General features: G+C 37.2%; 1 protein-coding gene across 30 annotated transcripts in view, besides 2 other annotated features; it reads right to left on the minus strand.

Moving 5' to 3' along the window:
• The window catches only part of RBM41 (RNA binding motif protein 41), a 66,721-nt gene extending 42,664 nt beyond the window's left edge, over positions 1-24,057 (minus strand). For 7 of the 30 annotated variants that reach the window (NR_136728.2, NR_136730.2, NM_001394119.1 and 4 more), the window contains exons 1-5: positions 24,001-24,057; positions 21,885-22,001; positions 21,097-21,289; positions 20,587-20,791; positions 18,632-18,703 (exon numbers count right to left, since the gene is read on the minus strand). Coding sequence is in view for 25 of the 30 variants with exons in the window: in NM_001394119.1 (NP_001381048.1) it covers positions 18,632-18,703; positions 20,587-20,791; positions 21,097-21,289; positions 21,885-22,001; positions 24,001-24,008 (595 nt within the window). In the remaining 5 variants the exon portion in view is untranslated. Of the gene's footprint in view, positions 1-17,738; positions 17,774-18,631; positions 18,704-20,586; positions 20,792-21,096; positions 21,290-21,385; positions 21,480-21,884; positions 22,002-23,665; positions 23,821-24,000 lie in introns of those variants that run through there. The other 23 variants (NR_136732.1, NR_136731.1, XM_011530980.4 and 20 more) reach the window with 7 other exon arrangements.
• Positions 23,361-23,440: an enhancer, noted in NCBI's record as "active region_29831". NCBI's record gives its function as "activates an Ori minimal core promoter by ATAC-STARR-seq in GM12878 lymphoblastoid cells {active_cell/tissue: GM12878}" and the evidence as "EXISTENCE:reporter gene assay evidence [ECO:0000049][PMID:35858748]".
• Positions 23,821-24,010: an enhancer, noted in NCBI's record as "active region_29832". NCBI's record gives its function as "activates an Ori minimal core promoter by ATAC-STARR-seq in GM12878 lymphoblastoid cells {active_cell/tissue: GM12878}" and the evidence as "EXISTENCE:reporter gene assay evidence [ECO:0000049][PMID:35858748]".

Consider the following 26,855-nt stretch of genomic DNA (forward strand, 5'->3'; position numbering starts at 1 on the left):
ATGCAGAGGATAATGTGAGGAAGGGGTCAAGAGCCAAGGCATGCAGGTAACCTCTAGGATCTGGACAAGGCTCAACCAGAGCCTCTAAAAGAAATGCAGTCCTGTTGACATCTTAAGATTTCTGACCTCTAGAACTATAAGGGCAGAAATTTATATTGTTTAAGCCACTAAATATACGGTAATTAGTTACATACTAATTACTTTTCTTTTCATAGGAAAGTAATACACTGCCAAAGAGCATGTGCAGAAAACCCAGAGCTAAGATCATACTTAATGGTTAAAAACTGAATACTTTTCCCCTAAGACTGGGAACAAGGTAAGGATGTTAGCTCTCACCACTTCCATTCAACATTGTACTGAAGGTTCCAGACAGTATAAGGAGGCAAAAAAAAAAAAAAAAAAATCCTCCAAACTGGAAAGAAAGAAGTGTCTTTATTCACAGGAAATAGGATTGTCTATGTAGAAAACTTTAAGGTATCCATAATAAAACTTTTAGAATAAAAGAGTTTAGTCACAGGATACAAATTAATATAGAAAAATCAACTTTAGGCCAGGCATAGTGGCTCATGCCTGTAATCCCACCACTATGGGAGGCTGAAGAGGGAGGATCACCTGAGGTCAGGAGTTTGAGAACAGCCTGGCCAATATGGTGAAACTCTGTCTCTACTAAAAATACAAAAATTGGCCAGGCGTGGTGGCACATGCCTGCAATCCCAGCTACTCAGGAGGTTGAGGCAGGAGAATCGCTTGAACCTAGGTGGCGGAGATTGCAGTGAGCCGAGACAGTGCCACTGCACTCCAGCCTGGGTGACCAAGCAAGACTCCATCTAAAAAAAAAAAAAGAAAAAAGAAATATCAACTCAATTTCTATATAATTGCATGCAACAATTGGAAAATGAAATGTGAAAACAATTCTATTCACAAGAACATGAAAATCATTAAAATGCTTAGAAATAAATTCAAAAGGCTGGGTGTGGTGGCTCATACCTGTAATCCCAGTGCTTTGAGAGGATGATGTGGGAGGGTCACTTGAGGCCAGGAGTTTGAGACCAGCCTGGGCAACACAGTGAGACCCCATCTCTAAACAAAATTTTAAAAACAATTAGCCAAGCATGGTGGCATGCACCTGTAGTCCTAGCTATTCGGGAGGCTGAGGCAAGAGGATCCCTTGAGCTCAGGAGTTGGAGGCTGCAGCGAGCTATGATTGTGTCACTGCACTTCAGCCTGGAATACAGAACAAGACCCTGTCTCTAAAAAATAATAAATAAATTCAATAAAGAAAGCATAAGATTAAGTTTGATAAAATAAATGTAACTTAAAAACTACAAAACAATGCTGAAATAAATTGTAGAAGATCTAAACAAAGGAAGAGACATTCTATTTTCTTGTATTAAAAGATTAATGATTAAAGATCAGTTTTCTCCAAATTGAATTATAGATTCAACTCAATCCTTATTAAATTCCAGCAGGCTTATTTTTCTTAAAATATTGGCAAGCTGTTTCTAAAATTTACATGGAAATACAAAGCACCTAGAATAGAAAAGAGTGATTTTAAAAAAGAGAAACAAAGTTGGAGGAGTCATACTACCCAATTTCAAAACTTACTATAAAGGTACAGTAAAAAGATTTAGAGTATAAGGATAGGCATATAGATCAATGGAACCAAGTTGAGTGTCCAGAAATAAAGCCTTACATTTATGGTCAATTGATTTTTCCACAAAGGTGCCAAGACAATGGGAAAAATAACAGCCTTTAAATAGTGCTGGAACAACTGGACATCCATATACAAAAATATGAACTTGGACCCTTTACTTCACACATAAAAATCAACTCAAATGTATAATATATCTAGATGTAAAATCTAAGACTATAAGTACTCCAGAAAAAAAAATAGAATATCTTTCTGACCTTGAGTTCAGCAATGATTTCTTAGATATGACACCAAAAGCACAAGCCATAAAATAATGAATTGAACTTCATTAAAATTAAAAACTTCTGTGCTTCAAAAGACACCATTAAGAAAATAAAGACAAGCTACAGACTGGAAGAAAACATTTGCAAATCATATATATACCTTATAAAGGACTTGTATTCAGAATAAAGAATTCTTATACTCAGAAACAACCCAATCAAAAAATGGGCAAAAGACTTGAATAGACATTTCACCAAAAAAGACATATTGATGGCTAATGAGCAGATGAAAAAGTATTCAAGATCATTTGTTATTACAGAAATTCAAAATAAAACTGCAATGAGCTATCAGTACACACACTGAAATGGCTGTAATAAAAGACAGGTAATAACAAGTATTGGCAAGGATGCAGAGAAATAAGAACTCATACATTGCTGATGAGACAGTAAAATGATACAACCACATTAGGAAATAGTCAATTCCTCAAATTGGTTATACACGGAATTACTGTAGGACACAGAAATTCTACTCATTCAAGAGAAATGAAAACATGTTCATACAAATGTTCACGGCAACATTATTGATAATAGCTAAAAGTGGAAACAACATAAATGTCATCAAGTGGTGAAAAGATTAAACAATGCGGTATATCTATTGACATGGTTTGGCTCTGTGTCCCCACCCAAATCTCATCTGGAATTGTAATCCCCATAATCCCCACGTGTCAAGGGAGGGACTTAGTGGGACGTGACTGGATCATGGGGGCGGTTTCCCCTATGCTGTTCTTGTGATAGTGAGTTCATTCTCACAAGATCTGATGGTTTTATACATGTTTGACAGTTCCTCCTTCACACACACGCTCTCTCCTGCCACCTTGTGAAGAAGGTGTCTGCTTCCCCTTCCGCTATGATTTTAAGTTTCCTGAGGCCTCCTCAGCCACGCAGAACTGTGAGTCAATTAAACCTCTTTCCTTTAAAAATTATCCAGTCTCCAGTATTTCTTTATGGCAGTCTGAGAACAGACTAATAAAGCTGTAAAATAAAAAAACTAGCTATATAAAGGAACAAATTGCTGATACATGCCACAACATGGAGAACCTCCAAAACATTATGGTTCCTGAAAGAAGCCAGATTCAAAAGACCACGTATTGTAAGATTCCATTCATTATGAAGTATCTAGAAAAGACAAATTTATGGAAACAAAGGCTTGGGGTGTATGTGGGAGTCATTTACTGCCAATGAGCCCTAGGGAATTTTGCCCCGGGTGATGGAAATGTCCTAAAATTGGACTCTGGATTTGATAGCACAATTCTATAAATTTACTAAAAATCACTGAATTGAACACTTACAATAGGTGGATTTTATCATGTATAAATTATATACCTCAATAAAGCAGTTTAAAAATAAACAAATTATTCAGAATCACAAAAGGTGAGAAGAAATAGAAAACAGAAAATGTACTGAAAGTCATTAAAGGATAATTAAATTAATGGAAAGGTACCATGTTCACATTTGAAGATTTGAAGACTCATAGATATGTCAATTGACCTCAATTGACTTAAATGCTCGATGGAATCCCAATCAAAATCATATAAAGGTATGTGTGCATGTGTAACTTCATAGATTTTCAAATTTACATGGAAAGGCAAAGTGTCAAAAGTAGACAAAACACTTTTGAAGAAAAACAAGTTGGAAAGAATTATTCTCCAGATACTAAAACATCATAAAGCTAGACTGTATGATATTGATTCTAAAATAGCCAAAAAGACAAAGGAACAAAAGAGAGAATCAAAAAAAAATTCATTCATATATGAACACCTGATATATGACAGAATATCCATCCATATATGAACACCTGATATTGCAACACAATAACAGTCTAGACATTTTCAATATTTGGTGTTAGAAGGCTATCTACATGAGGGAAAAAAGGAACTGGAACCCTACTTTATACCACATACATAAATCAATTCCAGGTGGATTAAAGACTTAAATGTGAAAGGCAAAAAACATAAAGCTTTTAGAATAAAGAACAGTATCAGGCCCAGGCGCGGTGGCTCATGCCTGTAATCCCAGCACTTTGGGAGGCCAAGGAGGGCAGATCACCAGAAGTCAGGAGTTCGAGACCAGCCTGGCCAACGTGGTAAAACCCCACCTCTACTAAAAATACAAAAATTAGCTGGCCGTGGTGGCGCATATCTGTAATCTCAGCTACTTGGGAGGCTGAGGCATGAGAACTGCTTGAACCCAGGAGGCGGAGGTTGCAGTGAACCAGGCCACTGCACTGCGGCCTGGGTGACAGGGGAAGACTCTTTGTCTCAGAAAAAAAAAAGGATTTATTAATCAAAGCACAAAACCACTAAGTATAAAGAAAAAATTAATAAATTTTATTACATAGAGATCAACAACTGTTGTTTACCAAAAGATACCATAAAGGCAGTGAAATGATAAACTACAGAATTGGAATATACATTTTCAACATATATTACCAACACAGAACAAGTATCCATAATAATAAAAAGACTGGTACAAATTTATAAGAAAATGCACCTATGATTAGAGAAAAATTGGATACAGAGTATTCAGGATGTATAACCTCAACACTTTCCTACCTCCTTCCTTCCTGTAGAGAGGTGGCAATAACTGAGATGTGCTATATCTTAGTGCTTTGGTGTTCACCCATTGGTTATTTTGTCTTTAAAGTTATTTATCTGCTGACTTCAAGATTCACAAGCTATTGTTTTGATAGATGCCTAAAGTGACCTCTGAACCAAGACTGCATCTGGACAAAGATACAAACAGACGGAAAGACATTCAGATAGTAAATAGGCATTTTCACATTTGCTAAATGGGCAAAAGAACTGAATAGCCATTTCACAAAGCAGGCTGTCCAAATGGCCAGTCAATGTGTAAGAAGGTATCCAACATCACTAGTTATCAAGAATGAAATTAAAACCACAATGAAACAAACAAACAATATAGGCTCAGACTCTTAAAATGACATCCTGAAAGGTACACACACACACACACACACACACACACACACACACACGAACACGAAGGCAGGGGAACTGTTCGGGGAACTGTTCTAAAGCAAACTAAGTGTAATGTGTGATCTCCAATTGTATTCCGGATTTATAATTGAGAAACCTGATTGCAACATTAGAGAAGCAATGTTAAATTTCTTAAGAGTGATCATTATACTGTGATTGCACAGGAGAATGTCTTTGTTCTTAGGAGATACACAATTAAGTATTTAGGAGTAAATCCTTCTTATTTCTGAAACTTACTCCAAATAGTTTATCAGTAAACAAACTACATACACATACACTCATATGGAGGAAGAGAGGTAAAGCAAATGTGGCAAGTTGTCAACAGTTGGTGAACGCAGGTGAAGGGTGTGGGTGTATTCTTTCAACTTTTCTCCACATTTGATATTTTCCAAAATAAAAGGTTGAGGAAAATAACACTTGACTAAAGGCTTTAAAAAAAGTAACATAAATTGGCCAGGTGTGGTGGCTCATGCCTACAATCCCAACACTTTGGGAGGCTGAGGTGAGTGGATCACTGGAGGTCAGGAGTTCCAGACTAGCTTGGCCAACATGGCGTGTGCCACTGTCCCTGGTGAATATTTTGTATTTCTAGTCTGTACTAAAAATATAAAAATTAGCCAGGGGTGATGGCAAACGTCTGTAATCCCAGCTACTCGGAAGGCTGAGGCACGGGAATTGCTCGAACCTGGGAAGTGGAGGTTGCAGTGAGCTGAAATCATGCCCCTGCACTTTAGCCTGGGCGACACAGTGGACTCTGTCTCAAAAAAAAAAAAAGAAAAAAAAAGTAACATAAATAAATGTTAACTAATAATAAAGGGAAAAAAGCACAACAAAATACAAGTAAATACTCATCAGATTAGAGTCTGACGATATCTGTTGTGGACAAGGATGTAGAGCAACCTAAACATTTCCACATGGCTGGTGGAATTTTAACTTGGGGGAATCCCTTCAGAAATTAGTTAACAGCTATTAAAGTTGAAGACAATGTGAACACTTCACCACCCAATTCCACTCCTAGATATATACCCTGAGAAACTCCTGCACACGTGTCCCAGAAAACATGTACAAGAAAGATCACAGTGGCAGAAGTGATATATACAGCCCCCCAAATGGAAACAACCCAAATGTGCAACTACAGTAGAATGGATAAACTATGGTATGTTCATATAAAGGAATACTATACTATACTTCAATGAAAATGAACTATGGCTACACATAGCAATATGTACGAATATCTCAAATATAATTGCCAGAAAACACCACAATATTGAGTAGAAAAGGAAGACCCAATAGAATACATACAGTATAATTCACTGACACAATGCTTAAGCACAGGCAAAACCAAACCAGACTGTCTAGTGCTGCATGTATGGGTGGTAAAGATATAAAGAAAAATAAGGAAATTATCACAAGTTAGGGCAGTAGTTATATCTAGTGGGAAGAGGGTTGTGATTTGTGAGGGACATATGGGGATTTTTGGAGTATCGGCATGTTCTGTTTCTTGATCTGATTAAAAATGTTTTAAGTGCTGTTTGTCATGATCTATCTCACTATAAAGAGATCGTTTGCAAAAAAAGTGAATGAGAGGTGAACAAGCGGCAACAAGTAAATGTACTGGGTTAAATAGAATCCTCCCAAAATTCATGTCTACCCAGAACCTAAGAATATGACCTTATTTGGAAATAGGGTCTTTGCAGATATAATTAGTTAAGGTGAAGTCACAGGGTAGGCTCTGAGTCCAATGACTGATGTCCTTATAAGAAGGACATGTGAAGATACAGAGACAGATACAGTCAACAACCAGAATGCCATGTGATGGCAGAGGCAGAGATTAGAGAGATAATCTAAGAACTGCCAGCAAACACCAGAAGCTAAGAAAGAGGCATGGAACAAATTCTCCCTCAGAGCCACTAGAAGGACCCAACCTTGCCAACATTTTGATTTTGTAGCCTCCACAACTGTGAGGGAATAACTTTCTGTTGTTTTAAGCCATTCACTTTAAGCAGCATCCTACTTCCCAGTACCAAAGTCTGTATTAGATTCCTAGGTCTGCCATAACAAAGTACCACTGGTACTGGGAAGTAAGATGCTGCTTTAACAAATACCTAAAAATGTAGAATTGGATTTAGAATTGGGTAATGAGTAGAGGCTGGAAGAATTTTGAGCTGCTTGATGGTAAAAGCCTATATTACATTGAGGAGATTGTTGGTAGAAATACGGATGTTAAAGGCAATTCTGGTAAGGGCTCAGAAAGAAGTAAAGAGACAGTAGAGAAAGCTGCTATTACCTTAGAGAATATATGTGTTCATGATTACATACACGTAATCATGAACAAAATGTTGCTAGAGGTATAAATGTTAAAGGTACTTCTGGCAAGGCCTTAGAAGGAAATGATGAACATGTTATTAGACACTGGAGGAAAGGCAATCTTTGTTATAAAGTGGCAGAAACTTGGCTGAATTGAGTTCTACTGTTGGGCAAAAAGTTTAACTTAAAAGTGACAAACTGATATTTCACTAAGGAGATGAATGGGCAAAGTGTGGAAGATGCAGGCTAGTTTCTCCCTGATGCTTATAATAAAATAAAAGAGGACAGAGGAAAATTGAAGAAGGAACTGTTAAGAAAAAAGGGGACAACACTTGATGATTGGGAAAATTCTCAGCCTATACAGATAGCGTGCTCTGGAAACAGGGCCAACAGTATAGATGGACAAACTTTCATTGAAGAGATTAAGTGTTAGGGTGTTAGGATCCAATCAACCACCTCAGCAGAAGCCAGGAATACAGATGGGGTTATCTAGGAAGAATCTGTAGAGAAACCTCATGTCTAATGGTGTAAATCTCTTGACATATATGAGACTGACAATGTTTTTGAGAATCTTATACCAGCAAAAACCACCAGTGCCAGCCTGGTGTGAAAGAGACAGAGACAGGACAAAGGAAGGATGATTACAAGAGCAAAGCCACAGACATAGAGGCCAGAGAGGATGGGGCTATAGCTGCCCTGATAGACTGAGTATATGGGCCCAGTGGACAAAGCACTGAGCCCAGAATATTACTCATAGGCCTTGAAAACTAATGGAATTTGCCATGCTAGGCTACAAACTTGCTTTAGACCAGTAACCCCTTTATTCCCTCATTTTTGCCCTTTCAGAATGGTAATGTCTACCTTATGCCTGTCCCACTATTTTATTTTGGAAGCAGATAACTTGTTTTCTAGCTCCACCAGTCTCTGGATGGAGAGAAATTTTGCCCCAGGATGGACCATATCCAGAACCTCACCTATACCTGATATAGATGATTTAGATAATGAGACTTAGGACTTTTTGAGTTGGTATTTAGATGATATTTGGGACTCAGACTTGGTGCTGGAATGGGTTAAGACTTTTGGGGATGTTATGTATTTTGCACGTGGATAGATGTGAATTTTTGGCACCAGAGGGCAGACTGTACTAGGTTGAACAGTATACCTCTAAAATTCATGTCCACCTCAAGCCACAGACTGTGAAATATTTGGAAATAGGGTCTTTGCAGATGTAGTTAAATTAAGATGAAGTAATACTAGATTAGGGTGGGGCCTAAATCCAATGACTGATATCCTTTTAAGAGAGCACTGTGAAAACACAGATACATGAGAATGCTATGTGATGACAGAGGCAGAGATAGGAATTATGCATCTATGAACCAGGGAACACCAAGAATTGCTGGCAACTTACCAGAGCTAGAAGAAGTAACGAAGGATATTCTCCTAGAGCCTGCAGAGAGAGCATGGCCCTGCTGACACCTTTGATTTTAGACTTCTAGCCTCCAGAACTGTGGAGAGGATAAATTTCTGTTGTTCTAAGCCACCAGATTTATAATAATTTGTTACAGCAGCCCTAGGAAACTAATACAGTAATTATAGAAAACTCTTCTAAGAATTGTGCTGTAGAAAGGGCAAACTATTGATACATACGACAATATGAATGAATCCCAAAAACATTATGTTGAATTAAAGAAACCTTACACAAAGAACATATACTGTACAATTCCAGTTATATGAAGTTCTAGAACAAGCAAAACTAATCTATGGTGGAAAAAAATCACAACACTAGTTGCCTCTGAGAGGGTAGGATGGGAATTACTGGAAAGAAGTATGCTGAGACTTTCTGTGGTGATAGTAATCTTCTGTGTTGATAGGGGTTAGGTTACACAGATGCAGTGTGTCCTGGAGATGGTCCGATGATTGTCTTTATTCCCAATTCCATGTTCAGTGATAACATATTGGTAGCTTGAAACTGGCTATGGTGGTAATATGTACACCTTGGAAACTGGCAAATGATACAAATCAGGGCCTGTTTTCCCCGCTCCCCTCCCCTACCCCCCCGCCAGAGACCTGGTTGTTAAACATTTACCAGTATATCACTACAGATTTATACACCGGTCAAAAGTCAGCAAATGAACACTTGAAAGATCTTTACATTTAACTGCTTGCAAATTTTGCAACAAAAGAAAAATCATTAATAAATATTTAACTCTAATTAACAGTATACATGCTGAAGTATTTCGGGGGAAGGAATTTACATCAGCGGTTTTCTAACATACATTAATAAAGATGGATTGATAGATGGGTATGGGTATAGATAGATTTGTGATAAGGCAAAATATTAATGGTAGATTCCAGATGGTAATATAATGGTTCTTTGTGATAAAATTCTTTCATCTTTTCTGTGTGTTTGAAAATTTTCACTGAAAACAAAGAATAGAAAAAATCTTTTCCCATTAGGATATCAAAAATATTAACATATTATATTATCTATTTAATATTATCTTTTTTAGGGCTTAAATTTTTACATTTCACTTTTTAAACGAACTGCTACTTATTATGGTATACAGTAAAAGAAGAAGATCTTGTCAAAGGCCTTTTCTGCATCTATTGAGATAATCATATGGTTTTTGTCACTGGTTCTGTTTATATGCTGGATTACGTTTATTGATTTGCATATGTTGAACCAGCCTTGCATCCCAGGGATGAAGCCCACTTGATCATGGTAGATAAGCTTTTTGATGTGCTGCTGGATTCGGTTTGCCAGTATTTTATTGAGGATTTTTGCATTGAATGAAAACTCTCAATAAATTAGGTATTGATGGGACGTACCTCAAAATAATAAGAGCTATCTATGACAGACCCACAGCCAATATCATACTGAATGGGCAAAAACTGGAAGCATTCCCTTTGAAAACTGGCACAAGACAGGGATGCCCTCTCTCACCACTCCTATTCAACATAGTGTTGGAAGTTCTGGCCAGGGCAATCAGGCAGGAGAAAGAAATAAAGGGTATTCAATTAGGAAAAGAGGAAGTCAAATTGTCCCTGTTTGCAGATGACACAATTGTATATCTAGAAAACCCCACCGTCTCAGCCCAAAATCTCCTTAAGCTGATAGGCAATTTCAGCAAAGTCTCAGGATACAAAATCAATGTGCAAAAATCACAAGCATTCTTATATACCAATAACAGACAAACAGAGAGTCAAATCATGAGTGAACTCCCATTCACAATTGCTTCAAAGAGAATAAAATACCTAGGAATCCAACTTACAAGGGATGTGAAGGACCTCTTCAAGGAGAACTACAAACCACTGCTCAAGGAAATAAAAGAGGATACAAACAAATGGAAGAACATTCCATGCTCATGGGTAGGAAGAATCAATATCGTGAAAATGGCCATACTGCCCAAGGTAATTTACAGATTCAATGCCATCCCCATCAAGCTACCAATGACTTTCTTCACAGAATTGGAAAAAACTACTTTAAAGTTCATATGGAACCAAAAAAGAGTCCGCATTGCCAAGTCAATCCTAAGCCAAAAGAAAAAGCTGGAGGCATCACACTACCTGACTTCAAACTATACTACAAGGCTACAGTAACCAAAACAGCATGGTACTGGTACCAAAACAGAGATATAGACCAATGGAACACAACAGAGCCCTCAGAAATAATGCCGCATATCTACAACTATCTGATCTTTGACAAACCTGACAAAAACAAGGAATGGGGAAACGATTCCCTATTTAATAAACAGTGCTGGGAAAACTGGCTAGCCATATGTAGAAAGCTGAAACTGGATCCCTTCCTTACACCTTATACAAAAATTAATTCAAGATGGATTAAAGACTTACATGTTAGACCTAAAACCATAAAAACCCTAGAAGAAAACCTAGGCAATACCATTCAGGATATAGGCACGGGCAAGGACTTCATGACTAAAACACCAAAAGCAATGGCAACAAAAGACAAAATTGACAAATGGGATCTAATTAAACTAAAGAGCTTCTGTACAGCGAAAGAAACTACCATCAGAGTGAACAGGCAATCTACAGAATGGGAGAAAATTTTTGCAATCTACTCATCTGACAAAGGGCTAATATCCAGAATCTACAAACAACTCAAACAAATTTACAAGAAAAAAACAAACAACCGCATCAAAAAGTGGGCGAAGGATATGAACAGACACTTCTCAAAAGAAGACATTTATGCAGCCAAAAAACACATGAAAAAATGCTCATCATTACTGGCCATCAGAGAAATGCAAATCAAAACCACAATGAGATACCATCTCACACCAGTTAGAATGGCAATCATTAAAAAGTCAGGAAACAACAGGTGCTGGAGAGGATGTGGAGAAATAGGAACACTTTTACACTGTTGGTGGGACTGTAAACTAGTTCAACCATTGTGGAATTCAGTGTGGCGATTCCTCAGGGATCCAGAACTAGAAATACCATTTGACCCAGCAATCCCATTACTGGGTATATACCCAAAGGATTATAAAACATGCTGCTATAAAGACACATGCACATGTATGTTTATTGCGGCACTATTCACAATAGCAAAGACTTGGAACTAATGCAAATGTCCAACAATGATAGACTGGATTAAGAAAATGTGGCCCATATACACCATGAAATACTATGTAGCCATAAAAAATGATGAGTTCATGTCCTTTGTAGGGACATGGATGAAGCTGGAAACCATCATTCTCAGCAAACTATTGCAAGGACAAAAAACCAAACACTGCATGTTCTCACTCATAGGTGGGAATTGAACAATGAGAATACATGGACACAGGAAGGGGAACATCATACACCGGGGCCTGTTGTGGGGTGGGGGGAGTGGGGAGGGATAGCATTAGGAGATATACCTAATGTTAAATGACGAGTTAATGGGTGCAGTACACCAACATGGCACATGTATACATATGTAACAAACCTGCACGTTGTACACATGTACCCTAAAACTTAAAGTATAATAAAAAAAGAGGAAAATCTAAATGTATTATTTGTTCAAGTAGCTAATCAATTGAAAGACATTTTTCATTTTTATCATTTTCTTTAGATAGTTCATGGTAAGCGTATGTAGACCATGGAGTCTGACAAGTATACAAGTCATGTTAAAACCCTAAAAAGAAAGAAGGAATACTGGGGATGACTGAAGTTATTTGGAAGATAAAAGGGATAGGATCCAGCACAAAATTATACACATTAGCCTTAAGCAGAAAGGACTTCCCTAGCACTGAGTCAAGAGAGAAGAAAACAAGGGTGAGGATACAGAAGTTAGCAGAGCATGAAGCAGGAAATGGATGAAAGTTCTTGCTGATGGCAGTTTCCTTTGAAATAGGATGGAAGACTGTTAAAAATGACAAAATAGTAGGAAAGGAAAGAGTAATGAGGATTTAAAATACTATTTATAAGGAATGAAATAGTGAGCTGACTAGGGACTAGGAGATAGATTGTTGAACAAGGGAGAGGCTCTAACCAATAACAGAGACGAGAAAGTTGTAGAGGCAATAATCAACAAAGTTATGTTTTCTTTCTAGCAGTGCCCAGAAGCCATGATGTAGAAATAGAGAAGGCAATTAGTCTGGTTGATTTGAGTTTGAGGTTTTGCTGGGTGGATGTGATACATAGACAAGGAAGCAAAGAGAATGATTCATTGTCAAGATGGGTGGTTAAATAATGGATGATAGAGTCTAAGTGAGATTTGAAAGCAAGAAGAAATAGAAAGGGGCTGACAGATTGGGAGAAAATTAAAAGGTCAAGGAACTGGAGATATAAACAGGGTTGAAGAGATGGTATGTGAATTTAAGAGAGTTATGCGAGCCAGAAGGATAAGAGAAAGGTTGTAGTCAGAGAGTACCATACTATAGTTGAAGATTTCAGAGGAAATATATTTCTAGAGATAATATATGTTTCTTTCTCACTGATTCAAGGTTAGAAAATGGGATATGTATAACTCCAGAAAAGTTTGTCTCGAGATATAGTAAAATCACACTTAATAAACCAATAAATCTTTTCCAATCACATATACAAGTGCTGTGGACAAAAGTACAGACTTTTGTGTAAGGACAAACATGGATTTAAGTCCCAGCATGGCCACTTAATAATTGTGATCTTAAGAAAATCACTTATGCCCCCTGAAGCTCAATTTCATTTTCTGTAAATTGGGTATAATACTGTACTATCTCATAGGGTGCTGTAAGGTTTAAATGTGATAATTTACAAAAATACTTAGCAAGGACTGGCACAAATAAGTCCTCAAAATTAGTAGCTATTAGGACTTGTTTGTGGGTAAGATGAAGTTAGCACACTTCACTCCGTGACTCCCATTGAATAAAGTTATAAAACCTGGAAAGAATGTATGGTACATTTAAATGCTATGAAGAGTGAATGGCAGCAGGAGGAAGGGGTAAGAAACCAAGAATTTGAACTAACAAAGAACTCATGTGCAGAAGAGACATGGCATAATCAAATTGCTGAAAATGAAGAGGAAAAAAACATTTTAAAAAGCCTCTTACATTTATGGTAAATTGATTTTTCACAAAGATATTAAGACAATTCAATGAAAAAGAATAGTCTTTTCAACTAAAGGCACCAGGACAATTGGCTATCCATATGCTAAGAGATGAATGTAACTTAAACAGTGAGGTTTGTAGCATTTCGACTTTCCATCATCCCATCTCCCCTTCTCTAGCTTTGCAGTAGCCTTGAAAACCAACAACCTTGCAACAACAGAAGCTGCAAAAACCAGCAGCCTATCTGAAACTGGAGTGGCAGACCAGTTCTGGAGCACCATAAAAGCCCCATCCTTGGAGAATTTTCACTATTTTACCTGGATGGAACTATTTGACCTGCCTGGCACTTCAATGAAAAGCCACATTCTGAGATGTAATTGGTATGACAATTACAGTAGAAAGTATGGGAGGTAGAGAACAGCTAAACAAAGTTTTTTAATATAATTGAAATTAAGTTGGTTTTAATACAAATTAATTTATTTAAGCCAAGAGGTTAATTGTAATCCCCAGAGCAACCACTAACACACACACACATACACAAAAACAGTAAAAGAGGCAAGAAGTTAATTAAAATGGCACATTGGAAAAATCTATTTAACATAAAAGAAGGAATAAATGGAGGAACAGAGGAACAAAAAAGATAGAAGAGAAACAGAAAACAAAAAGCAAAATAGCAGATGTAAATCCTTAACAGACTCTAATTAAATACATTAAAATAAATGAACTAAACTCTCCACTCAAAAGGCAGAGATTGAAATAATTGATTAAAAAGAGAAAATATAATCCAAACTATTTGCTGTCATGAGACACACTTTAGGTTCAAAAACACAAATAGATTAAAAGCAAAAAGATGGAAAAAGATGTCCCATACAAATAAGAACCAAAGTGGAGCTGAGTTTTAGAAATTTGAGTCTTCTTTCTGTTTAACTTGATCAGTCTAGCTAAGGGATTATAAATTAAGTTGATCTTTTCAAAGAACTAACTTTTGGTTTTGTTGACTTCCTCTATTATTTCCTCTATGTCATTTATTTTTGCTCCATTTTTTATTATTTCTTTTCATCAGCTTGATTTGGATTTAGTTTGCTCTTCTTTTAATAAGTTCTTAAGGTGGAGATTTCAGTTATTAATTTGAAATCTTTTTTCTTTATTAATATGGGCATATACAACTATGGGCATTACAGCTAAATATCCCCCTAAACACTGATTTTATTTTACTCCATAAGTTTTTGGCATGCTGTGTTTTAATTTACCTCAAAATATGTTCTAATATTCCTTTTGATTTCCTTTTAATTCATTGACTGTTTGGTAGAGTGTTAATTTCCACATATTTGTAATTTTCCTAAATGTCCTTCTGTTATTTATTTCGAATTTCATTCCACTGTGAACAGAAGTGGCAAGAGTGGACATCCTTATCTTATTTTTGATCTTTGGGGAAGAATTTCAACTTTTCACCATTAATTATGAGGTTAAGTATTAACACACAAATTCGGCCAATTGATTTCTGACAAAAATGCAAAGGCAAGTAAATGGAGAAAGGATACTCTTTTAACAGTTGGTTCTAAAACAACAGGACATTTGAAGCCAAAAAAAAAAAATAAGTGAACTTTAACCTAAACTTCATACCTTATATAAACATCAAGTAGTCAAAATGGATCATAGATCTAAATGTAAAATGTATAACTATATAACTATCAGAAGAAAACATAGGAAAATATCTTTTTCATGAACAGGTAGAGTTGTTAGATACATATAAATGCACATACATAAAAGGCAACCCATGAAAGGATCAACTGATAAACAAGATTTGAAACAATACTTGAAAACATTTTCTGTGAGGTAAAAGACTTATACACTGAAAACTACAAAATGTTGCTGAAAGGAATTAAACAAGACACAAATAAATAGACATCCCATGTTCATGACTTAGAAGACAATACTGTTAAGACATCAATACTAACCAAAGTGATATACAGATTCAATGTAAGTCCTACCAAAACGTCAATAACATTTTTTTACAGGAATAGAAAAATCCATTCTAAAATTCATATGGAATCTCAACCAATCCCCAAATATCCAAAACAATTTTGAAAAAGAACAAAGTTGGAGTTCTCACACTTCCTGATTTCAAAACTTACTACAAGGTTACAGTAATTAAAACAGTGTGGTACTGGCATAAAGACAGGTATATATAGTCAAATGATTTTTGAATAGGGTGCCAGGATCATTCAGTGTGGAAAGAACAGTCTTTTTTCAACAACTGGCACTGGGAAAACTGAATATCAACATGAAAATAATAAAGCTGAATTTTTACCTTAATACCATATACGAAAATTAACTCAAAAGGTTCAAAGACCTAAACATGAGAGCTAAAGCTATAACACTCTCAGAAGATAACATAAGGAAAAGCCTTCATTTCATAACAATGGATTTGGCAATGATTTCTTGGATATGACACCAAAAGCATAGACAACAAAAGAAAAAAATCAACAAATTGGACTTCATCGAAATTAAACACTTTGTGCATCAAAGGACAGAGTGAAAAGGCAATTCTTGGAATAGGAGAAAATATTTGCAAGTCATATATCTTATAAGGAATTAATATACAGAATATATATAGAACTTCTACAACTCAACAACAAACAAGAAACTTATTTTAAAAATGGACAAGAGATCTGAACAGATACATCTCCAAAGAAGATATACAAATGGCCAAAAAGCATGTGAAAAGATGCTCAACAGCACTAATCATCAGGGAAATTGAAATCAAAACCACAATAAGATAACATTTCATACCCATTAGGACGGCTATTATTTTTTAAGAAAATAGTAAGTGTTGCCAAGGGTATGGAGAAACTGGAACTCTTATCTTGTGCATTGCTGGTGGGAATGTAAAATGGTACAGTCTCTATGGAAACTGATATGGCAGTTTCTCAAAAAATTACATGTAGAATTAAGATGTGATCCAGCAATTCCATTTCTGAGTATATACCTACAATAATTGAAAGCAGGTATTCAAACAGATATTTGTATACCCATGTTCGTAGCAGCATTATTCACAAAAGCTAAAACATGGAAACAACTTAAGCATCCATCAATTGATAAACAAAATGTGCTATATACATACAATGGGATATTATTCCACCTTAAAAAGAAAATTCTGACACATGCTACAACTTAGATGAATCTTGAAGATATTATGCTAACTAAAGCCAGTCACAAAAGGACAAATATTGTATGATTCCACTTATATACTGAGAGTAGTCAAATTCATAGAAACAGAAAGTAGGATGGTGGTTGCCAGAGGCTGGTGGGGATGGAGAAAACGGGGAGTTAGTATCTAATAAGTACAGAGTTTCAGTTTGGGAAGATGAAAAATTTCTGGAGATGGATGGCTGTGATAGTTGCAGAACAATGTGAAAGTACTTAATGCCATAGAACTACACACTTAAAAGTGGTTTAAATGGTAAATTTTATGTATATTTTACCACAATAAAAAAAGTTTGCCCTGCAAAAGACACTGTTAAGAGAATGAAAAGACAAGCTACAGACTGGGAAAAAATGTGTGAAAATCACATATCCAACAGAAGATTGTGTTTAGAATATACAAAGAACTCTCAAAAGTCATCAGGAAGAAAATAAACAACCCAATTATAAAACAGCAAAAGATTTGAACAGACACTTTAGCAAACAGGATATAAGGATGGCAAATAAGCAAATGAAAGATGTTCAACATCATTAGCCATTAAAGAAATGCAAATTAAAACTACAATGAGGTACCACTTCACAGCTATTGAAATAACCAAAATAAATACTGACAATACCAAGTGCTGACAAAGATGTAGAGCAACTCGAACTTTCATACATTGCTGGTGAAAATGCAAAATGGTACAGCCACTCTGGAAAATGGTTTGGCAGTTTCATATAAAGTTAAATGTACACTTACCATATGACCCAGTAATCCCACTTCTAGATATTTACCTTAGAGAAATAAAAACTTATGTTCACAAAAAAACCTGTACAAGAACGTTCATATCAATATTATGCATAGCCATCATAACCTGGAAACAACCCGAATGCACTTCAATGGGTGAATGGATAAACAAACTTTGGAATGTCCATATGATGAAACACTACTCAACAAAATAAATGAACTATTGATACACGCAACAACTCAAATGAGTCTCAAAGGCATTATGCTGAGTGAAAGAAGCCAGTCTCACAAGGTTACATGTTGTGTGATTCCATTTACATGACATTTTCTAAAAGATAAAACTACAGTGATGGAAAACAGTCAGTGATTGTCAGGAATTATGGTGGGTTGGGAATGACTATAAAGGGACAGCATGAGGGAGTTTTTTAAGGTGATGAAGCTATTCTCTTTCTTGATTGTGGTGGTGGTTACATGAATCTACATGATTTACAATTCATAGAATTGTACACCAAAAAAGAAGAAGCCCCATGCAATTTTATTGGAAGTTCATTTCAAAAGTAAGAAAATATTAGCTATCATATCATCATCATCATCAATAATTATACTTTACTGACTAATAAAAATATTCAGAATTATTTGTGAAATGGGATCTAAAAATCATTAAGGTCAATTTATGTCTGGTACAATAATTTAAATGTATAGAGAAAAAACAACAGCAGTAAATGTAAAAGCTTTACAACTTCTACTAACTCCTCTCTTTAATATTCTGTATCAGGATAATATGCTCCCTCTGGATCATTTCCTATAAACATTGTCATATACTGAATATGGAATTAAATAAGTGCTCAACTGGGACCCTAGGTTACATTCCTAAGTCTAACACTATAAGAAAACTCTCGACTTGCCTTTTGTGCCTAATTTTATCTTCCTCTTCATTGAGGTCATGTACTTGTCTGCACTTGTCTTTTTGTGGTATGCTGTGAAGGTTTAAAGCAAGGAGTTTCAAAGATAGGAAACAGAACAGATTCATAAACCACCCACCCTCCACCCCAAATACCAGGTACTGCTTTAAGTGATTTACATGTATTCTCTCACTTAATCCTCTTAGTAACCCTGTAACATAGCTACTATTAATATTCTCATTTTACAGATGAAGATACTGAAGCATAGAGAGGTAACTTGCCTAGCATCTCATAGCTAGTTAAGTGGGGGAGCCAGGATTTTCCCAGGCAGTCTGCCTCCAGAGCCCATGTTCTTAATCATTATGCTAAATGTCTCTCCACAAAAGGTTATTCATTTGTTCATTCATTCCTTCCTTCACCACTGCTCTGCCATGTCTATGATCCTTCTATCTCTAACAAATCATTCATCCATTCTCACGGCCTTAACATGTTATCTAAGGATAGATGATTCCCAGTTCTATATATCTAGTTCTGACCTCTCTCCTGAGCTTCACGGCTGCATTTCCAACTGTCTCCTCAACATCTGCATTTGATGATCCTGCCATTCTCACAAATTCCACATGTTTAAAATCAAACTCATCATCCTTCCTCGAAATTTCCCCATAAAGGCTTTCTTAATTTTGCCAATTGGTAAGTCACACAGCCTTGAAACCTCTGGATTATCTTTGACACATACCTCTGCATTGACCTCCCTCCTTCATTTTCAGTCAACGAGTTTTATTAGTTCTTCCATTATAAACCTACCTCTCTCCAATTTCACTGCTATCACTCTAGACCAAGTCTTCATGCCTAAATGACTGTAATATCTCCTATCCATTCTGCCTGCTTCCAGTTCTTCCTCTCTCTAATCCTATTTATTGACCACCAGATTAATAATTTTCAAATATGGCTTTTATCATGTCACTTCTGGTTCAAAAACCTTCAACCATATTGAAACTAACTGATAACTAACTCTGTATAAGTCTATACTAGTTACCAAATACAGTTCAAAATTTTTAGCTACCTTTCTAACCTTGTCTCACATCTCCTCCATAGTTAGCACACTCCCTAGTGCTCACACCATCTGTTGCAACTGAAATGTCATTACCTCTCTTTTCTAAAGAATAGGTAGTATTAAAAGAACATTTAAATCTTACCTCCTCTGAGAGGGCTTCTTCAATCACACCAATACACAGTGGCCTTTGCCTCCTCTGAACTCCAACAACACTTAACAAATGTATCTAGTATTGTCACTAAATGTTACATGTTTATCTCTCCAACCAGACTATACTTGGCACAAGGTGAGGAACCATTTCTTAAACTTCCATGCACCTTCCACAGCGTCTAGTAAAACTTATCTGTCAAACTAAATCCTTCTGGTTAAGACACATACTATTTATCTATATATTTTGTGCTAATTTGTAGTTCAGCCTAAAGACCCTTCACAATCTAGCTTCGCCTCCCCTTCCTTCCAGTGTCACCTCCTGTCATTCCCTGCCACTTCTTCTACTCCTGCCACGTTAAACTTCTCATTGTTCCTTAGACACACCAGGTTCTTTCATAATCCTGTTGCTATTTACTACCTTTAATCTCCATTCCCCTTTATTTACCTGACAAATGCCCATTGATCCATCAGGAGTTAGTATAAATGTCAACTTCTGACTCCCCCAACTAGACTTAGATGCTCTGTGTTCTGCACTACCTCAGCATTTTATTCAAATCTCTATAATAGCAGTTTCCATGTTGTCATGCAACTAACTGTGCACATATTTGTCTCTCTTATGGTATTATACATTTCTCAAAAGTAGTGACAATTTGTCTTTCCCCTATTCCCTTCACTAACTCTTCATATTTAATGCCCTGCTGTTTAATCTTTCTCTCAGTGAAAGAATATATCAAAGTCAGTGGGGATCACATACCTTGGTAATAAAGAGCCTTAAGGAAGGAGTGACGATCAGCTCCCTGAAATAAAGACTTTTCTATTTCCATTTCTCGCCGGGTCAGCTGTTTGCTCTTTGCAAATCTCTGTGGCAGGCAAAGAATGCGCTGACGCTCCGAGATCCTTTCTTCAATATCTTGAAGACGGTTCTGTATTGCTTCAGGAGTTGCCCTCAGTTTTGTCTTCTGAAACCAGAGGAATGAGATGGCATGTATCATAGAGGGCACAACCTGAACATGATGATCTGGTATCTCAAGTAAAAAGATGACCTAGGCCCAGAAATGAATGTTTACAGAAAGTGTTAGCTAAGAAGTTAAAGAACAGCTTCTCTTTTACCAATGTCTGCATTCTAAAAATCAAAGAAGATTCAGACACCAAGCTCAGTTTTGTGAGAACTAGAAATGAAAAGGCTCTCAGTGCTAAAATGAAGATATTTTGCTCTGTTTCTTTGAGGAGAAAAACCAACAAAAAAAAACATTACCCCACTCACCTTTTCACCAGAAACATGGCTCTTCCAGATCAAGATTTCTGTTTCATTAAGCCCTAATTCCCTGAGAGAAGCAGTTTCCTGGTCCTTCTCATGCAGTGTCTGGAATTGGGACAAAGTCATAGTCCCAGCTGCTTCCTTCCCAAAGGGCTTGTACATAGTACCAGGAGCAAAGCTCTCTTTCTTAGACATACATCTGCAAAACATGCAGGAGGAGAGTAAGAACATCTTGAGGTTACTATCATTCACAAAAATGGAGGTTCAGCACTGTAAGAGGTACAATGAAACTCACCAGCAAATTTTCTCTTACATCTTATTTCTAAGCTGAAGCACCACTGCAACAAAATGGAACTCCATCGAGAGTGCCGTCATCCAGGAATAATAAACTAAATCAACAAATATTTATTGAGTACTTACTATGCATCAGATACTCTGCTAGGTACTAAGGATTTAATAGCTTTATAAAAAAGATAAAAATGGCTCCTGCTTTTGTGGAAAAACAGTGGAACAGAGGCAAGTAAACAGGCAATGATAATATTGGGTTACAAGTGCTATGTTAAGGGAAATATGGGATGCTGTAGGAGGACATAAAATAGGTACTTGGCTCAGACTTAGTGAGATATGGGAGGCTTCCCAGAGGAAGAGACACAGAATTAAAACCCTACCTAATACATTGAAGTCTAACAAAGAAAGGGAGGTGGGAGAGGAACATTCCATCTAGGCTTTAAGAGAGATCTGTCACCTGGAGGTAAGAGTCTATGATACTCTCCGTTTGCAAAATCAATACCTACTCCTCAATGGAGACAGAAGTATCAAGTTGATGCTGAAGGAGGCTTTTCAGCTGCCTCTCCCCTTCTGTTTCCAGCTCCTCCAGGACATGCTCATCACTCTTCACACAGCTGTTTACCCTGGAGTAGACATAAGAATATATACAGAAAACGGAAGAGACTGTGAGTCTCAAAATATATTCCTTATCTATATTATCTACCATTACTGACCCCATTTATTCAAAGACACTTCTCCAACAATTCATTGCCCTTTACCATTTAGTCCATGAACACTTACTAAATACCTGTTTACACAGAAGGCACTATGCTAGGTACTGAGGGAAGTCAAAGGTGTTTAAGACATAGTCCCTATCCTCAAGAAGCCCACAATCTATTTAGGGAGAAGAAGTGTGTGTTTATGTGTTGTGTGCATGTGCCTTGGCAGCGGGGGGAGGAGAGAATAATAACACATAGAAGCATATGCCAAATTAGTAGAAATTCACAGAAGAGAAAATTGGGAGATAAAGGTGGTAAAGGAAGACTTCAGAAAGGTACTTTTAAGCTGACATTCAAAGGTGTGTGATGCAGAAAAGGAGAACAGGGAAAGAGAGTACAAAGGGATAGTAATATATACTGAAGGATAATAAGAAGTAGTAATTTATCAAACAGTTAAGTGACACAGTGCAAGTGATGGTTTAGACAGATGAATGTGGTTATAATATGCCATAGAGATTCAAAGGGAAGAAACAAGAAGAACTAGTTATGAAACTACTGAAGTAAAAGGTGATGAAGGTCTAGACTGAAATGGTAATAGTGAAAATGGAAAGAAAGGGTTAGATGAGAGAGGCCTTTTGGAGGCAGAGGCAAGGAAGTCAAAGATAATCCCAAAATTTCAGTCTGTGTAACTGAGAGAACAATGGTACCAATGAAGGAAAGACAAAGCTCCAGATGGAATAAATGATTTGGGAAAGGGAAAGTCAGTATTGTTTTAGCCACATTGAGTCTAGTAGCTTTTACAATAGAAACGCCAGCATGAAGTATCAGGAATACTTCAAATACATGACTAGGAACATTTTGTTTAGGGATAAATTCATATGTACTAGAAACTATTTGCTTTTTTAAAAGCAAGGGAATTAATAACACAAAATTCCGGATAGTGGTCACCTCAGGGGGGAACGAAGGGAGGGAAGAGACACAGTAGACTTCTAAGGGACTGGCAATGTCCTATTTCTTAAGCTTGTAGTGGATGCGAACCTTTATTATTCTTTAAGCTGTATATATACATTATACATTATTTCGCATGGAGGAGATATCATAAAAAAATATTAAAGGTTAGTTTCAGGCAGGCAAAGTCATAAACGGTTTTTTAAAAGATGCAAGGAACTGACAGTGCAGGAAAGCATATCAGTAAGAATTTTAAATGCACTGCACTATTCCAGAGTGATGATTCTACTTGCAGAGTGAATCTAAAATTAATTTAAGCCCGTCAATAGTTAGGAGGCTCAGGCCATTTAGGCTCAAGCGGCCATTTACCTCAGGACAAGTAAGGGGAACTGAGCCCAGCAATGCCTTCCACCTCCCCTCCCCCCACCCCATAAATCGAACCGCTTTGGTGCTGTCCTTCCACATTTAGAAACAAAGTACCGCTCCCTTACTTTAAGATTCGAAAGCGCTACATGGTTTCGGGGCCCAAGCAAGTAGTCTTTAACACACAGACGTTGCAAATAAATGCGCCCGCCCCGAGCCTTTCTCAGGTGGAGGTGGAGGTAGGGGAGAACGGCGAGGGGCTGGCCCGAGGTACCTACATCTCCGGCGCCGGGAATTTGTCAGCCTCAAACCCTTTTGCCCAGCTGGGTCCGGGTGAAACGACGAAGCCGCAGCACCCGGCCAGCTCCCGGGGCCCGTGCCGGGAGGGCATTCCCACAGCAGCCGGCCCCGGTGGCAGCCCTTCCTGAACTTCGCTCTGCAGGCCTGTTCAGCCCGTCTCCCCTCCTCCCGTCTCCTTTGTCGTGTTCCCGCTCCCACGAAACCGCATCCTGAGAACGTGCAATACCCAAACCAGAAAGCAATGGAAGCCATTTTCAAAAGAAAAGGTAGAACAAAGCTCCCCTTGCCGCCTGCTCTTCAGACAAGTCCTTACCTCTTCATGTTTCCACAGGCCCCTACCTCCAACTTGGGTAAATAGGCCGCGGACCTCAAGTCCCAGAACTCCGCGCGGCGGACTTCTAAGGGTATTGTGATGGAGCATGGGGCTCTGGGAATTGTAGTAGCACAGAGCTATGGCAACAGAAAGAGAAAGTAGATCTCAAGTGACAGGTATGCTGAACATTGTCCAAATATTTATTTTGAATTTCTCATTTAGGTTCAAAAGAAGACCCAAAATATCCAGCTCATAAAACGAGTCACCTTTGACTTCTTGATTCTCTCATCCATTACCACTAATTCCTGGCTCTTCTGTAATTTCCTTTGAACTTATCAACACTGCTTTTCTTTCAAGGATTTATCCAGCCTACCTACCGTTTCCAGTCGAGCCTCTGCTTCATCCTTCACGATGTAGCCAGAGTCATCAGACACGAGTCTGACTATATCACCTGTACTAATGGTTCTCCTCTATCTGTAACAGAGACTTGAGAGTTTTCTCCACTCAGAATCAGAAGTCTGTGTATGTTCAGGCCCACATATGTTTTATTGATAATTATGGTGAATCAAGAAAGAGGTATAGTATAGTGGTTAAAAGCATAGGCTCTTAGTTTCCAGAAATGGAAATGCAAATGTCTTTAAGTGTATGAAAAGATGTCCAATCTCACAAATTTTAAAGTACACTGACTACCAGTACTCCTTAAAACTAGCAAGGTCATCAAAAACACAAGAATCTGTCACAGCCAAAAGGAACCAAAGGAGTCATGATGACTAAAGTAATGCAGTATCTTGGATGGGATCCTGGAAAAGAAAAAAAGACATGAGGTAAAAACTAAGGAAATGTGAACAAACTATGCTCTTTAGCTAATAACAAGGTTCGTTAGCTGTGACAAATGTATCAGAGTTATGCAAGGGAAACTGAGTTGTACGTATGTGGAACTTTGTACTATGCAACCTTTCTGTATCTAAAACTGTTCTAGAACTTAAAGTTTATTTTTAAAAGTACATTAAACTACCATTTTTCACCTAACAGATTGGGAAAGATCCAAAAGTTTGATAACACACTTGTTTTATTGAGATTGTGGGGAAACGGGCGCTCTCAATACACTAGTGGTAGGAATATAAATTGGTACAACATCTATTGGGGGCAAATGAGGATACTACTAAAATCATAAATGTACATTCCCTTTAAAGCAGCAATTCAGTTATGAATAGAATCCTCAATACTATATATCCTCTAACCTACTATCATTCCTTGCAACATTGTTTATGAAAACAGAAATGAAAATATCCAAGAACATACTATGAAAATGTATCATTCAATGAAAAACTATGCAGCAGTTACCAAGATGACAAAGTTCTCTATGAACTGCTACTAAACAATCTCCAAAATATAGTTAGTGCAATAGCAAGGTGCAGAACGATATGTATACTATGCTTCTATTTGCATAAAAAGGGGAGCTCTAGTCACTTAAAAACATATATATGTGTGTTTGCTTGTATATGCACAAAATATGTTTGGGAGAACTTACAGACAAATGATGAGTGAATGCCTCCAGGTAGGGGAACTGGATGGCTGAGGGACAAGGGCAGAAAAAATTCTTCACGTATCTTTTTGTGCCCTTTGAATTTTGAACCCATGACTACATTACCTAGTCAATACTTTTTTAATTAAAGAGAAACCCTCTTACATCTCAAGAAGCCAAAGAAGAAAAGATTGTAGGTAATGGTGGGGGGCGGGGCACACTACTTGGATTTGAATCTCACTTCTCAGTTGACAGTATAGCACGACAGGGTTTTAGAGGCAATCTGGACTTGAATTTTTGCTCTGGTAAGTTACTAGACCATGTGGGTTTCAGTAAGTTTCTTAACTGGTCTAGGCCAGTTTTCTCATCTGTAAAATGAGGATACCTCCTAAGTATAGGGTGACTGTCAAGCACATACAAAGGTATGGTTTTAAAGTTATTCCATGATTGAGTGGTAATCTATGAGTAAATAGTCAAATGTTAATCAGTAGATTTAGACTTATCCAAACTGCTTTGTATTTCCATGCTCAAGTTAGAGCAAAGGACCAAAAAGCAGCTACTGAAAAACATTGTAGAATTTCCTGTCCTGAGAACTTCTATCAGATTGAAAATGTCATGGTGAGCTACCTAAGACCTGTCACATGCAAATAACTGTGCTCTTGAATCATAAAGGTGAATGACTGCAGGCATAGCATGTACCACTTTGTAGCTTTGGCACAGAACGTGAACTGAATATAAGTATAAACAAAACGGGGGGTCACATCATTGCCTGCACCAGGTAAATCCTATATGGTGGTAGAGCTGAATTTTGTGGCTCAACCAATCTGTCCCAATTGACATATTGACAAGGAAATGGAAAAATACACCAAGGTTGCTAGTGTGCTTATCCCCTGGGACGGTGGCAAAGGATGGAACAAATATTACACCAACCATCACACCAAACTTGTGTACAACTTCTAATAAAACATATAGCCTATTGATACTGAAATGATACACACTACATTGCAAATCCACTAGGTGGGATGAGTGGAGAACGAATAGCTAAGATACATATTCACATAGCTGTGGAATTGCAACTGGAAAGCAAGGTCATAAGAAGTACTCTACATACCTGTGTATAACTGTAACCAGCGCAAGTGATAGGTACAAACAGACAAACATTCAGAAAATTACACTAAAAAGAAAACCAGGCCATTTCTAATTCTGCCAAACTTGTTAACTGTGTAATAATAGTTATTCTGTTTCCCACAACATTCTTCTCCCCAGCTTAAAAGGACATCAGACAGTGTATACAAAGCCTTGGAGATCTCTAGATGTTATACATGGGCAC

This window comes from Homo sapiens, chromosome X (assembly GCF_000001405.40).
Source record: "Homo sapiens chromosome X, GRCh38.p14 Primary Assembly".
Lineage (NCBI taxonomy): Eukaryota > Metazoa > Chordata > Mammalia > Primates > Hominidae > Homo > Homo sapiens.